The sequence below is a fragment of the Homo sapiens genome, chromosome 22 (genome assembly GCF_000001405.40).
Source record: "Homo sapiens chromosome 22, GRCh38.p14 Primary Assembly".
NCBI classification, from domain to species: domain Eukaryota; kingdom Metazoa; phylum Chordata; class Mammalia; order Primates; family Hominidae; genus Homo; species Homo sapiens.
In genome coordinates, this window is record NC_000022.11 from 25027671 (window position 1) to 25043272 (window position 15602).

Consider the following 15602-nt stretch of genomic DNA (forward strand, 5'->3'; position numbering starts at 1 on the left):
TTAGCTGTCAGGGGAAAGTCCTCCAGAGTGTTGATGCCTTTTCTACACCCTTGGAGCTGGAACGAACTTCAGGGATGGGCGTTTAGTCCACTCCCCTCGTCCAGAGCTCAGAGACGGGGAGAGGCAGGCCCAAGCCTGCCGGGTGAGGTCAGCAGAGGGCTGTCGTATGGAATCTGGGGCTCAGGACTCTGTCCCATTTCTCTAAACCATTCTGCTTCAACCCAGACACTGACTGTTTTCCAAATTTACTTGTTTGTTTGTTTTGTTTGTTTAGCAATTGCTTCTCCATTCTTGAAGTTCCTAACCCCCATGAATCCACAACCATAACCATGGCCACGCGGGTCGAGGTGGGCTCCATAACGCCCTTGACGGCCGTGCCAGGCCTGGGTGAGATGGGCAAGGAGGAGACCCTGACGAGGACCTACTTCCTCCAGGCCGGCGAAGCCTCTGGGGCTCCCCCAGCCCGGATCTTGGAAGCGAAGAGCCCCCTGCGGAGCCCGGCCCGGTTACTCCCTCTGCCAAGGCTCGCCCCCAAACCCTTCTCGAAGGAGCAGGACGTGAAATCTCCTGTCCCGTCTCTGCGGCCCAGTTCGACTGGACCTTCCCCCTCTGGGGGGCTCTCTGAGGAGCCAGCAGCAAAGGATCTGGACAACAGGATGCCCGGCTTGGTGGGGCAGGAGGTGGGCAGTGGGGAGGGCCCGAGGACGAGCTCGCCCCTCTTCAACAAGGCTGTGTTCCTGCGGCCCAGCTCCAGCACCATGATTCTCTTCGAAACCACCAAAAGCGGCCCCGCTCTGGGGAAGGCGGTTAGTGAGGGGGCGGAGGAGGCCAAGCTAGGTGTGTCCGGCTCCCGGCCTGAGGTGGCTGCCAAGCCCGCCCTGCCCACCCAGAAGCCTGCGGGGACCCTTCCCCGGTCAGCTCCCCTGTCTCAGGACACAAAACCACCTGTACCCCAAGAGGAGGCAGGCCAAGACCATCCTCCCTCAAAGGCCAGCAGTGTGGAGGACACGGCACGCCCCCTTGTGGAGCCCAGGCCTCGCCTGAAGAGAAGGCCCGTGTCTGCCATTTTCACGGAGTCCATTCAGCCTCAGAAGCCAGGCCCCGGCGCAGCGGCCACAGTGGGCAAAGTGCCACCCACCCCTCCCGAGAAGACGTGGGTGAGGAAGCCCAGGCCCTTGTCCATGGACCTCACGGCCCGGTTTGAGAACAAAGAGGCCTTGCTGAGGAAGGTGGCCGATGAAGGAAGTGGACCCACAGCAGGGGATATGGCTGGGCTAGAGAGGCCCAGAGCAGCGTCCAAGCTGGACAGGGACTGTTTGGTCAAGGCGGAGGCTCCTCTTCATGATCCTGATTTGGACTTCCTGGAGGTGGCCAAGAAAATCCGTGAACGGAAGGAGAAGATGCTTTCGAAGCCGGAGATGGGCAGCCCCAGAGCCCTGGTGGGGGGCTCATCTGGGGTCACCCCCAGCAATGACCAGAGTCCCTGGGAAGAAAAGGCCAAGCTGGACCCAGAGCCAGAGAAGGCTGCTGAGTCCCCCTCACCCAGGCTGGGAAGGGGCCTAGAACTTGCTGAGGTTAAGAGCAGAGTGGCGGATGGGGAGGCCGCGGCAGGGGGAGAGTGGGCCTCCAGGAGGAGTGTCAGGAAGTGCATCAGCCTGTTTCGGGAGGACAGCACCTTGGCCTTGGCAGTGGGGTCTGAATCTCCCCTGGCCACCCCTGCGTCCCCATCGGCGGCACCAGAGCCGGAGAAAGGGGTTGTGAGCGTTCAGGAACGGATCAGAGGCTGGACTGCCGAGAGCTCAGAGGCTAAGCCCGAGGTCAGGAGGAGGACGTTCCAGGCTCGGCCGCTGTCGGCGGATTTGACCAAATTGTAAGTAGGCACATCCCACACCCCTCTCTCAGCCGCCCACCCACACACCCTGAGGAAGACGGAACCAGGCTCCATGCTGGGCACTTGTCACCCCCCCTCAGTTTACCCATAGCCCAAGAGGAGGTAGTGGCAGTGTCCATTTCTCAGATGAGAAAGGTGAGGTGCGGAGAGGCAGTGCAGCTCTCCTCTGGGTATGGCCAGCCGGGGGGCCCGGAGCCCAATTTTCATGGCTTTTCTCAGCTTCAGATGTAGTGTGTGAGTGAAGTGGGCGGTATGTGCCCATTTCATGGAGGCAGGGCAGAAGGGTGAAATACTGTGGGGAGGTGGGAGCTGGATGGCATTCCAGCTCAGCCTGTCTCCATAGCTAAGCCTTTCTTCCCTGAAGTCAGAGAGAGAACGCTTAAGATTGGGCCTAAGCCTTTATGAGTGGCCCAAAAAATAAACTCAGAGGAGTCAAGGTAACTTGGGCTAGTCAGTTGGTTAATACTGATATTCTACGTCATTTGGTTAATAATGATATTCTAAGTCAGTTCGTTAATACTGATACTCTTAAGTCAGTTGGTTAATAATGATACTCTAAGTCAGTTGGTTAATACCGATGTTGTCAATCAGTTGGTTAATACCGATGTTCTAAGTCAGCTGGTTAATACCGATGTTCTAAGTCATTTGGTTAATAATGATGTTCTAAGTCAGTTGGTTAATAATGATGTTCTAGGCCGGGCGCGGTGGCTCATGCCTGTAATCCCAGCACTTCGGGAGGCCGAGGCGGGTGGATCACAAGGTCAGGAGTTTGAGACCAGCCTGGCCAACATGGTAAAACTCTGTCTCTACTAAAAATACAAAAATTAGCCAGGCGTGGTGGCAGGCGCCTGTAGTCCCAGCTACTCAGGAGGCTGAGGCAGGAGAATCGCTTGAACTCGGGAGGCAGAGGTTGCAGTGAGCCGAGATCACACCACTCCACTCCAGCCTGGACAACAGAGCAAGACTCCGTCTCAAAAAAAAAACACCAAAAAACAAAAACAAAAAAGATATTCTTAGTCATTTGGTTAATACTGATGTTCTAAGTCAGTTGGTTAATACTGATGTTCTAAGTTAGTTAATAATGATATTCTAAGTCAGATGGCTAATAATGATATTCTAAGTCGGTTGGTTAATAATGATATTCTAAACTTGGCCCACTTCCGACATCTCTTCTTTGTTTTCCCACAAGTGGCCACAACAGAGAGATGCCACTCGGCATGATCGACTGGCTCTTAATGGCATGCATGCCACTGACATACTTTGTCCAGGGTGGAGCTTGCAAAGGCAGGATCTCTGGGCAGACTGCCCTCCCGGCCCTGGGAACCAGGACAGCCAGCCAAGCCAAAGCTAGACCACTGGCCCTCAGTACTTTAGAATAACCGGAAAAAATACCAGTGCCTGGGCCCCACCCCTAGAGATTCCGATTCACTTGGTCTGGGGAGGGTGTTCTATTTTGGTAGTTTTTATTTTATTTTTTATTTTTATTTATTTATTTATTTTTGTGACCCAGGCTGGAGTGCAGTGTTGCAATCTCGGCCCACTGCAACCTCCACCTCCCGGGTTCAAGTGATTCTCCTGCCTCAGCCTCCGCAGTAGCTGGGATTACAGGCACGCGCCACCACACCCAGCTAATTTTTTTTTTTTTTTTTTTTTTTGAGACGGAGTCTCGCTCTGCCGCTGAGGCCAGAGCAGTGGCACGATCTTGGCTCGCTGCAAGCTCCGCCTCCCAGGTTCACGCCATTCTCCTGCCTCAGCCTCCCAAGTAGCTGGGACTACAGGCGTCAGCCACCACGCCCAGCTAATTTTTTGCATTTTTAGTAGAGATGAGGTTTCACCGTGTTAGTCAGGATGGTCTCGATCTCCTGACCTCGTGATCCGCCCGCCTCAGCCTTCCAAAGTGCTGGGATTACAGGCGTGAGCCACCACGCCCGGCCTAATTTTTGTATTTTTAGTAGAGACGGGGTTTCACCATGTTAGTCAGGCTGTTCTCGAACTTCTGACCTCATGATCTGCCCGCCTCAGCCTCCCAAAGTGCTGGGATTACAGGCATGAGCCACGGCACCCGGCCTGTATTTTGGTAGTTTTTAAAAGCTTCCAAGTCGATCTTATGTGTAGCCGGGGCTGACAACCCCTGAATTAAGATATCAGAGAAGGACACCTATGCCACGGTCCTAATATGCTTCCTCTCACTATGTCATGGAAGAGCCTTGGAGAGGCCGTGTGATTATCCCCATCTGACAGGTGGGGAAACTGAGGCTCTGAGTTTAGACAGAACTCCTCTCAGCCTCACATATCCCAGGAGACAGACCCTGGGTTGCTGAGTATGGGTTAAGTTTAAGTGGTTTGATTTCTCTCCCTTTCCTTTTCTTCAGTCCCCAGCTTTGAACTAAACACGTGCTACATCTTCAGGTATTTACACCAGAATGCTCTCCAGAGATGGAAAGATTCTAGCTCCACACCCTCTTCCCTTTTTGAGGTGGGGAAAACGAGGCCCAAAGAGGGCCCTGGTGATCCAGAGAGGCAGAGACAGACCTGGGCCCCCACACATTCCCTGACAGCCCACTACCCTTCAGTCTGGGGGCTGCTCTGAGGTGGGGCTGCTGTTTTACCTGGCACTGCTAACAACAGCCATTCATTATCCCTCCTGGGGCATCTTCACTCTTCCCTAAACGCCCTCACGTAGCTATTAGGGCCTTGAGTAGCCTCTTATCTGCCCCATAAAAGGGATGGGGAGGTGTTAATTATCCCTGTTTTATAGATGAAGAAACAGAGGCTCAGGTGAGGTCACAAGCCTAAACCAAGCTCCCCCAGTGAAGAGGCAGTAGAGCTGGGACTAGCACCTGGGTGTCTTCCCCCAGCTGGGGCTCCTCCACCCCAGTAATGCTGTGTTTGAGGTAGGCTCTCCCCACTGGGCAGTTCTCCTTTTGGTAAGTGGAAAGGAAATGTCCTTTCTGAAGGTTACTTGGCCTGGCCTCCTGAGCTGGTGTGTGGGCTGGGGGGAATAACAGCTTCCAGCTCCATGAAGGTAACTCAGATCTCTGTACCAGGTTTTCAAGTTCAGCTTCCAGCAACGAAGTCAAATATGAGAAGAGTGCTGAGCTGAGCGGCGAGTTTCCTAAGGAACCGAGAGAAAAGGTAAGGAGTGGCTGTGTAGCACGTCTCTCATTAACCAGCGGGCAGTTATGGCTGCTGGAGAAAGAGCCTCCATGATCTTCTAGGCCCCAGGAAGACTCAGAAACATGTCATGCACACGATAAAACATTTTTTCTTCTAATGTTGGGACTTTGAAGTCCCTTTTGGCATGAAGAGTTGTGATTCCCTACTCCCAGGTGTTAAATGCTGTTTACAAATGTTATCAGGCATTTTTTTTCTTCGCAAAGAGGCAGAGGGGCATGGCTTTCTTATATAGGAGTGCCTGCTTTGTTAAAATACTAAAATTTAGGTTTAAGATGTTAATAGAAACTCCTTCAAGGTCCTTCATAGTGGTTCTTATTGCCTTCCCCTTACTTACCACCTAGCCATAGAAGGAAGAAGTAGGTGGCTGGGCACAGTGGCTCACATTTGTAATCCCAGCACTTTGGGAGGCTGAGGTGGAGGGAGGATTGCTTGAGCCCAAGAGTTTGAGACCAGCCTGGGCAACATAGTGAGACTCTTATCTCTAAAAGAAAAAAAAAATTTTTTTTAATTAGCCAGATGTGGTTGTGCATGCCTATAGTTCTAGTTAAGGCTGAGGCAGGAGGATTGCTTGAGCTCAGGACTTTGAGGCTGCAGTGAGCCATGATCATGCCACTGCACTCTAGCCTGGGCGACAGAGTGAGACTTGTCTCTAAAAGAATAAAAATGTAAATTAAAACAAAAAGAAGTAGGTTACCAGCAATTAAATTGCTTGAAAAGTATTTTTATTTCATCTTTTTAATAAGAGAAAACTCATAAAATTGTCTCCTAGCGAAAACCGGTTTGTGGTTGATGCTTTCTGCAGAGTCTTAGTTGTTTTTTTGGTTGGTTTGTTTTCGTTTTTTTTTTTTTTTTTTTTTTTTGATGGAGTCTCCCTCTGTCGCTCAGGCTGGAGTGCAGTGATGTGATCTCGGCTCGCTGCAAGCTCCGCCTCCCGGGTTCAAGCAATTCTCCTGCCTCAGCCTCCCAAGTAGCTGGGACTACAGGTGCCCGCCACCATGCCCGGCTTATTTCTTTTGTATTTTTAGTAGAGTTGGGGTTTCACCATGTTAGCCAGGATGGTCTCGATCTCCTGACCTCGTGATCTGCCCGCTTCGGCCTCCCAAAGTGCTGAGATTACAGGTGTGAGCCACCGTGCCTGGCCCAGTTTTTTTAAAAACAGCTTTGAGATACAATTGACATACAGGAAAGAGCACAGATTTAACACATTCAACTTGGTGAGTTTCCTATGTGTGTACAACCTGTGAAACCACCATCACAGTCAGAATAGCGAACATCTCCATCCCAGGCAAAAGGTTCCTCATGCCACTTTGTTTTTTTTTTTTTTTGGAAACGGAGTTTTGCTTGTTGCCCAGGCTAGAGTGCAGTGGTGCGATCTTGGCTCACAGCAACATCCACCTCCCAGGTTCAAGTGATTCTCCTGCCTCAGCCTCCCGAGTAGCTTGGATTACAGGCACCCACTACCACGCCTGGCTAATTTTTGCATTTTTAGTAGAGACGGGGTTTCGCTGTGTTGGCCAGGCTGGTCTTGCACTCCTGACCTCAAGTGATCCACCCACCTCGGCCTCCAAAAGTGCTGGGGTTACAAGTGTGAGCCACCACACCCGGCCACGACGTTGTAATCTCTCCCTTCCCCTGCTCTTCCCAGCCCATCACAGGTCTGCTTTCTGTCCGTGTAGATTAGTTTGCATTTTCTAGACTTTAGTATAAATGGAATCAGTCCTCTTTTTTTTTTTGCCCTTGCTTGTTCACTCAGAGTAATTATGTTGAGATCATTCATGGTGTAGCATGTATCAGTAGTTCATTCCTTTCTGTTGCTGACTAGTATTCTATTTGTGTGAGTAGACCACAATTCGTTTATCCATTCACCTTTTGATGGACAATTGGGTTGTTATCTGTTTGGGGCAATTACCAGTGAAGCTGCTGTGAACATTTGTGGACAAGGCTTTGTAAGAGCTTCTATTTCTTTTCTTTTCTTTTTCTTTTTTAATTTTTTAATTTATTATTATTTTTCATTTTTGAGATGGAGTCTCGCTCTGTTGCCCAGGCTGGAGTGCAATGGCGCGATCTCGGCTCACTGCAAGCTCCGCCTCCTGGGTTCACACCATTCTCCTGCCTCAGCCTCCTGAGTAGCTGGGACTACAGAGGCCCGCCACCACGCCTGGCTAATTTTTTGTATTTTTAGTAGAGATGGGGTTTCACCGTGTTAGCCAGGATGGTCTCCATCTCCTGACCTTGTGAGCCACCTGCCTCGGCCTCCCAAAGTGCTGGGACTACAGGCATAAGCCACTGCGCCTGGCCTTTTTTTTTTTTTTTTTTTCTAATTTTTGAGACAGAGTCTTACTCTGTTGCCTGGGATAGTACAGTCACGTGATCTCAGCCCACTGCAACCTCTGCCTCCTGGGTTCAAGTAATTCTCCTGCCTCAGCCTCCTGAGTAGCTGGGGACTACAGGCACGTGCCTCTATGCCCACTTAATTTTTTGTATTTTTAGTAGAGATGGGGTTTCACCATGTTGGCCAGGCCAGTCTTGAACTCCTGACCTCAGGTGATCTGCCTGCCTTGGCCTCCCAAAATGCTGGGATTATAGGTGTGAGCCACCGCGTCCGGCCAGGACTTCTATTTTCTTTTCTCTTGGGTAAACATCTAGGAGTAGAATGGCTGGATCATATGGTAGATGCATGTTTTATGTTTTAAGAAACTTCCGTGGAGTTTTAAAAATAACACCAGTGCTTGGTTTCAAGCTTGTACCCATCTCAGTACATCACCAACAAAAGTGGGCTGGCTTTGAATGGCAATACCCACCACCACTCTTGGAGGCAGCGGTTTGCCCTGCAAGTTTTATTGTTGCATTTTCTGAATCATTTCTTTGAAAATGGTTAGGAGTGATACCATTTAAGTAATTAAAGCTCCTTATATTTGTATTAAAATGCTGTAGTGACAGCAGCAGCAAGGGCAAAAAGGCTGTGTGTGGCGAGAGTGGCAAAATGTTGATTGTCATTAAATTGGGGGGATGGGTTGGGCAAGTTCATTATTTTCTCTGTAATTTTGTGTATGTTTAAAACTTTAAAGAAAGGAATAGTTAAGAAATAAACCCTTGCTTTACATGTGATGAGATTTTATCTCTATAAGTAGACTTTATGTGTGTGTGTATGTGGGTGTGTTTATTGTAGTAAAATACACATAACAGGCTGGATGTGGTGGCTCATGCCTATAATCCCAGAACTTTAGGAGGCCAAGGTGGGAAGATTGCTTGAGGCCAGGAGTTTGAGGCTGCAGTGAGCTCTGATTATACCACTGCACTCCAACCTGGGCAACAGAGCGAGATGCTGTCTTTATTTTATTTATTTATTTATTTTTTTAGAGATGGAATTTCGCTCTTGTTGCCCAGGCTGGAGTGCAATGGCACAATCTCAGCTCACTGCAACCTCTGCCTCCTGGGTTCAAGCGATTCTCCTGCCTCAGCCTCCTGAGTAGCTGGGATTACAGGCATGCGCCACCACACCTGGCTAATTTTGTGTTTTTAGTAGAGACAGGGTTTCTCCATGTTGGTCAGGCTGGTCTCGAACTCCCGACCTCAGGTGATCCACCCGCCTCGGCCTCCCAAAGTGCTGAGATTGCAGGCATGAGCTACCGTACCTGGCTGAAATCCTGCCTTTAAAAAGAAAAAAAGTACACATAACATAAAATATATCATTTTAACTATTTTTAAAGAAAAATAATGAATTTGTGAAATTTACAAAATTTACAAAGTTTCAAAAATTCGGTCTTTCTAATATATATATAAATAATACAAAGAGAGTTCTGAAAGGCTCTTCAAGGATCATAACCCATTGGTAATAGCTGTTATCCAAGAAAAGGGACTGGTATTTGAACAAGGGAACAAAAATGATTTGAACTTTGGCCGGGCGTGGTGGCTCACACCTGTAATCCCAGCACTTCGGGAAGCCAAGGTGGGTGGTTCACCTGAGGTTGGGAGTTCAACACCAGCCTGACCAACATGGAGAAACCCCATCTGTACTAAAAATACAAAAAAAAAATTAGCCAGGCGTGGTGGTGCATGCCTGTAATCCCAGCCACTCGGGAGGCTGAGGCAGGAGAATCACTTGAATCTGGGAGGCAGAGATTGCGGTGAGCCGAGATCGCGCCATTGTACTCCAGCCTGGGTGACAAGAGCGAAACTCCATCTCAAAAAATAAAAATAAAAAATAAAAAAAGCTTTGAACTTTGTATTGTTTGGATTCCTTTACAATCAAAATGGATTCATGTATTGTTTATGTAAAATTTACGTATTAAAATATAAACAGTCCAGGTGCGGTGGCTTGTGTTTGTAATCTCAACACTTTGGGAGGCTGAGGCAGGTGGATCACTTGAAGTCAGCAGTTCAAGACCAGCCTGGCCAACGTGGTGAAATGCCGTCACTACTAAAAACACAAAAATTGGCTGGGTGTAGTGATGCATGCCTGCACTTTCAGCTACTCGGGAGGCTGAGGCAGAAAAATCGCTTGAATCCGGAAGGCGGAGGTTGCAGTGAGCCGAGATCGTGCCATTGCACTCCAGCCTGGGCAAAAGAGCAAGACTCCATCACAAAAATATGTATATATGTGTATATTGCAAAAAAATATATATGTGTATATATGTATATATGTGTATATATGTATATATGTATATATGTGTGTATATATATGTGTGTGTATATATTTCAACAAAGGTTTACAGTCAGTGTTTTTAGAGCACTTCAATGGCATTCCATCATCTACAGTAGGGGTTAGCAAACTGTGCCCCTGGCCTTATTATAACCATTTTAAAGTGCACAACTGAGTGGCATTAAGGACGTTTTCAGTATTATGTAAGCATCACCACTATCTAGTTCCAGAATCTTCTATCACCTCAAATGGAAACCTTGTGTCCTCGTCTCCCATTCCCAGGCATCCAGTAATCCACTTTCTGTCTATGGATTTACCTATGATGTGTATATATATTTATATTTATATATATGCTGTATATAAATGGAGTCTTATATAGCTTTTTGACTGGCTTCTTTTGCTTAGCATAGTATTTTCAAAATTCATCCACGGTGTAGGATGAATCAGTATTTAATTCCTTTTATTTATTTATTTTTTTAGACAGAGACTCACTCTGTCACCCAGGCTGGAGTGCAGTGGCACGACCTCGGCTCACTGCAATCTCCGCCCTCCAGGTTCAAGCAATTCTCTTGCCTCAGCCTCCTGAGTTGCTGGGATTACAGCCGTGTGCCACGACACCCAGCTAGTATTTTTAGTAGAGAACGGGGTTTCACCATGTTGACCAGGCTGGAGTCTTGAATTCCTGAGCTTAGGTGATCCACTTGCTTTGGCCTCCCAAAGTGCTAGGATTACAGGTTTGAGCCACCGCACCTGGCCTTTAATTCCTTTTAAAAGATTATTATTATTTTATTTTATTTTTTTGGTGTAGACAAGGTCTCACTATTTTGCCCAGGCTGGTCTTGGACTCCTGGACTTAAGCGATTCTCCCATCTCAGCCTCCCAAAGTGCTGAGATTACAGGCGTGAGCCACCGCGCCTGGCTGGATCTGCCTCTTTCTGTGGTAACAAATGCCTGTGCAGTAGTCCATCGTTTGGAGATAATTGAAATTTAGCCAATGCTTTTCCAGTGAGCATTCAGGTTGTTTCTGTGTTCTTTTGCTTGCACCAACGGTGCTGTCTCAACTTTCTTGTTTGTGTAGGCTTGTGCATGTGGACAAAGTCCTGGGAGGAACTTGGCCGGATAAAAGGAAATGAGTATTTTAACATCAGGATAGATACATTGCTTTGCCCAAAGTCGGGTTCATTTATGTTCTCTCCAACAGTATCTGAGTGTCCATTTCCCCACATCCTCACCCACACTGGGTGTGTTCATTCTTTTCAATTTTATGGTATTTCATTGTTTTAATTATACAAGCAGCCCTTTCAATTACTCCACTTTTTCCTTTCCATCTCAAATCCTTAAACACTGAGGTGTTTCTTTTTCTTTTTGTTTCTTTCCAGCAAAAGGAGGGGCACAGTTTGGATGGAGCATGCATCCCGAGAAGCCCCTGGAAGCCTGGGACACTCCGGGATAAGTCCAGGCAGACGGAGCAGAAGGTTAGCTCTAACCAAGACCCCGACAGCTGTCGCGGTGGAAGCTCAGTGGAGGCCCCGTGCCCTTCTGACGTCACTCCAGAGGATGACCGGAGCTTCCAGACTGTGTGGGCCACAGTATTTGAGCACCACGTGGAGAGACACACAGTGGCTGACCAGTCGGGACGTTGTCTCTCCACCACACCCCCTGGTGACATGGCCCATGCCCGTGTCTCAGAACCCAGGCCGAGGCCTGAGATGGGCTCTTGGCTGGGCAGGGACCCACCAGACATGACAAAACTGAAGAAAGAGAACTCCAGAGGGTTTGACAATCCCGAGACGGAGAAATTGGGACCAACCACCCTTTTGAATGGTGAACTGAGACCGTATCACACGCCTCTCCGGGACAAATACCCTTTGTCTGAAAACCACAATAATAACACCTTCCTCAAACACTTGGAAAATCCTCCCACATCGCAGAGAATTGAGCCCAGATATGACATTGTGCATGCAGTGGGAGAGCGTGTGCACAGCGAGGCCATCTCACCGGCACCGGAGGAGAAAGCGGTCACGCTCCGCAGCCTCAGGTCTTGGCTCTCACTGAAGGACAGGCAGCTGTCCCAGGAGGTCACCCCTGCTGACCTGGAGTGTGGTTTGGAAGGTCAGGCGGGGTCCGTCCAAAGGGCCAGTTTGATTTGGGAAGCTCGAGGCATGCCTGAGGCTAGTGGACCGAAGTTTGGGGGCAATTGCCCGTTTCCCAAATGGACAGGCGGGGCAGTGGTGAGCTCGCACAAAGCCACCGTGGCAGTCAGCGAAGAGCACTGTGCTCCCGGGGCCACCTCCGTCAGGGCTATCAAGGCTGCCATCTGGGAAAGCCAGCATGAGGGGCCAGAGGGGGCCAGAAGCAAGCCAGGAGTGGGAGCAAGGGGCCCACCCCAGGGATGCCCCCTCGATCCTCTTTCCAGGGCTACGAATGGGCCTTCTGACTCCCAAGCACGAACACATCCAGATGCATTTGCTGTGCAGAAAGGGCCCTTCATTGTAGCCGCCAGGGAGGGTGATCCAGGGCCGGCCCAGGTGCCACAGCCTGCAGTCAGAATGCGGAAAGCCGGCGCCATGGACCAGAGAATGGACAGATGGCGGCGGCGGACTTTACCCCCCAACGTGAAATTTGATACATTCAGTTCTCTTGTCCCAGAGGACTCTCCACATGTGGGGCACAGACGAACAGATTATGTGAGCCCCACAGCCAGTGCCTTAAGAAAACCTCAACTATCCCACTACAGGGTGGAGACCCAGGAGGTGAACCCAGGTGCTTCACGGGACCAGACTTCCCCAGCAGTGAAGCAAGGGTCACCTGTGGAACCCAAGGCGACATTTTTTGCAGTCACCTATCAGATTCCCAATACTCAAAAGGCAAAGGGTGTGGTTCTGTCAGGAGCTGAAAGCTTGCTGGAACATTCTAGAAAAATCACTCCACCCTCGTCTCCTCATTCTTTAACATCCACTTTGGTTTCTCTTGGTCATGAAGAGGCATTGGAGATGGCAGGCAGTAAAAACTGGATGAAGGGACGAGAGCATGAAAATGCAAGCATTTTAAAAACTCTGAAGCCAACAGACCGTCCATCATCTCTTGGGGCCTGGAGTCTGGACCCTTTCAATGGAAGAATCATTGATGTGGATGCCTTATGGAGTCATCGGGGATCAGAAGATGGCCCTCGTCCTCAAAGCAATTGGAAGGAAAGTGCGAACAAGATGTCCCCCAGCGGCGGAGCTCCCCAAACCACCCCGACTCTGAGGAGTCGTCCAAAAGATCTTCCTGTGAGAAGGAAGACTGATGTGATCAGTGACACGTTCCCAGGTAAAATCAGAGATGGCTACAGATCCAGCGTTCTTGACATTGACGCCCTGATGGCAGAGTACCAGGAGCTGTCGCTGAAAGTCCCTGGGGAGGCTCAGGAGAGGAGGAGTCCCACCGTGGAGCCCAGTACGTTGCCTCGGGAGAGGCCTGTTCAGCTGGGCGGGGTGGAGCAGAGAAGGAGGAGCCTGAAGGAGATGCCCGATACCGGGGGTCTCTGGAAACCGGCCAGTTCTGCCGAAATAAATCACAGTTTCACTCCTGGCTTAGGCAAGCAGCTGGCAGAGACCTTGGAGACAGCCATGGGCACCAAATCTAGCCCTCCCTTCTGGGCTCTGCCACCCTCGGCTCCTTCTGAAAGGTATCCAGGGGGCTCTCCTATACCTGCGGATCCCAGGAAAAAAACGGGGTTTGCTGAGGATGACAGAAAGGCCTTTGCCAGTAAACATCATGTTGCAAAGTGTCAGAATTACCTGGCTGAGTCAAAGCCCTCTGGTCGGGAGGATCCAGGCAGTGGGGTCAGGGTGTCACCCAAATCGCCCCCCACTGACCAGAAGAAAGGGACCCCAAGGAAATCCACCGGGCGGGGAGAGGAGGACAGTGTGGCCCAGTGGGGTGACCACCCACGTGACTGTGGACGGGTGCCGCTGGATATCAAGAGGGCCTACTCAGAGAAGGGGCCCCCTGCCAACATCCGAGAGGGCCTGTCCATCATGCATGAAGCCAGAGAGAGGAGGCGAGAGCAGCCCAAAGGGAGGCCCAGCCTTACTGGAGAGAATTTGGAGGCCAAAATGGGACCCTGTTGGTGGGAGTCAGGGACTGGAGACAGTCACAAGGTAAGTACCGAGACACTTTTTAATTTTGTCAAACATGGTTTAAACATCTAGTCTAGGGGGCCGAAACTCAGATTTTGTGTGGCCCACTTTGGGTACATAAATGAGTGGAGTCAGGCTGGGTATGAGGCTCCAGGGAGGGGTATGGATTGTGGCAAATGGAGAGCTCATGCCCTATCTGAACTGGACAACTGCTGCTTGGTCCCACCTGGTTCTTTGTTTGTTTATTTGTTTGTTTGAAACAAAGAGTCTTGCTTAGTTGCCCAGGCTGGAGTGCAGTGGCATGATCATGGCTCACTGCAGCCATAATCTCCTGGGCTCAAGCCATCCTCCCGCCTCAGCCTCCCAAATAGCTGGGATGACAGGCATGCGCCACCATGCTTGGCTAATTTTTTATTTTTTGTAGAGACAGGGTTTTGCCATGTTGCCCAGGCTGGTCTCAAACTCCTGGGCTCAAGTGATCCTCCTGCCTCGGCCTCCCAAAGTGCTGGGATGACAGGCGTGTGCCACCATGCCTGGCCCAGCTGGTTCTTCACAGGCAGGAATGCTGGCCTTGAGATGGCAAACCTCATTTATCAAGAGAATCTGAAAATCTAGATTTTTATGTGTAATCCTCCCATTAGGAAATGAGGAGGACTTATTTTTAAAAATGCTGTTCAGCCCAAACAAGACTTGTCTGCTAGCCCCATGCAGCGCGCCGGCCACCTGTTTTACACTTCTGTCCTACAATGACGATAATGATAGATATCAATGGTAGCTTTATTGTGCTCCTGCTGTATAATAGCCTGTTGTATCCTGTTCATTATTATGTCCCCAGAATCCAGCATCATGCTTGACATACTGTGAATGTTCAAGAAGTATTTGTTGAATGAGTGAACAAGTGATCTTACGTGAGCCTCAAAAGAGGGATCACCATGGTTTTGGGTTCCAGCAGTCCCTTGTTTTTTTTTTTTTTTTTTTTTGAGACGGAGTCTCACACTGTCACCTGGGCTGGAATACAATGGTGTGATCTTGGCTCACTGCAACCTTCGCCTCCTGGGTTTAAGCGATTCTCCTGCCTCAGCCTCCCAAGTAGCTGGGATTACAGGAGCCCGCCATCATACCCGGCTAATTTTTTGTATTTTTTTTTTTTAGTAGAGACGGGGTTTCACTATTTTGGCCAGGCCGGTCTTGAACTCCTGACCTCGTGATCCGCCCACCTTGACCTCCCAAAGTGCTGGGATTACAGGCGCGAGCCACTGCGCCCGGCCTGTAAGCACTTTTTAAGGGGGTGATCCCAGGAAGAACCAGTAGGGGAGAGAAGAAGTGAGGCAGGTGCTACAGGGGCCATGGTTGGCCACAGAGGCACATCTCACTGGGGACCCCGGGAGGCAGCATGGAACACCTCTGAAGTTGTCATGTCCAGGGGTCAAGGGACCTGGAGTATGTATTTTCCAATCCCTCTGTCCTTGCCTGAGGCTGTTTGTGGGGTCATGAACATTCAGACTTTTCCATCCTGGCTGGCACCATGCACAGCAGAAGAAAGAAAATCTGGCTTCCTTTGTTCAGTGAAGAACAGAGAGAAAGAGAAGAATGGATGGCAGGGTGGGGGGTGGGGAGGAAAGGAGGAAGGGATCACTTTAATTACAAGCACACCCTTTTGGGGGTACATAAGCAGAATAGCTGTGAAGAAACCCTCACCCAAATAAGCCACTTTGTTTTTAACACACACACACAAATTCAAATCTACCCAAATATCTATCAGTGAGGC

At 49.7% G+C, this 15602-nt stretch overlaps 1 protein-coding gene across 6 annotated transcripts in view; it reads left to right on the forward strand.

The window, feature by feature from the left end:
- Nucleotides 1-15602, forward strand: part of KIAA1671 — a 244733-nt gene that overhangs the window by 74955 nt on the left and 154176 nt on the right. For all 6 annotated transcript variants that reach the window (NM_001386933.1, NM_001386932.1, XM_047441556.1 and 3 more), the window contains 3 exons: nt 275-1870; nt 4939-5026; nt 11090-13855. In NM_001386933.1, coding sequence (NP_001373862.1) covers nt 330-1870; nt 4939-5026; nt 11090-13855 — 4395 coding nt within the window. In that variant the 5' untranslated portion in view covers nt 275-329. The remainder of the gene's footprint in view (nt 1-274; nt 1871-4938; nt 5027-11089; nt 13856-15602) is intronic.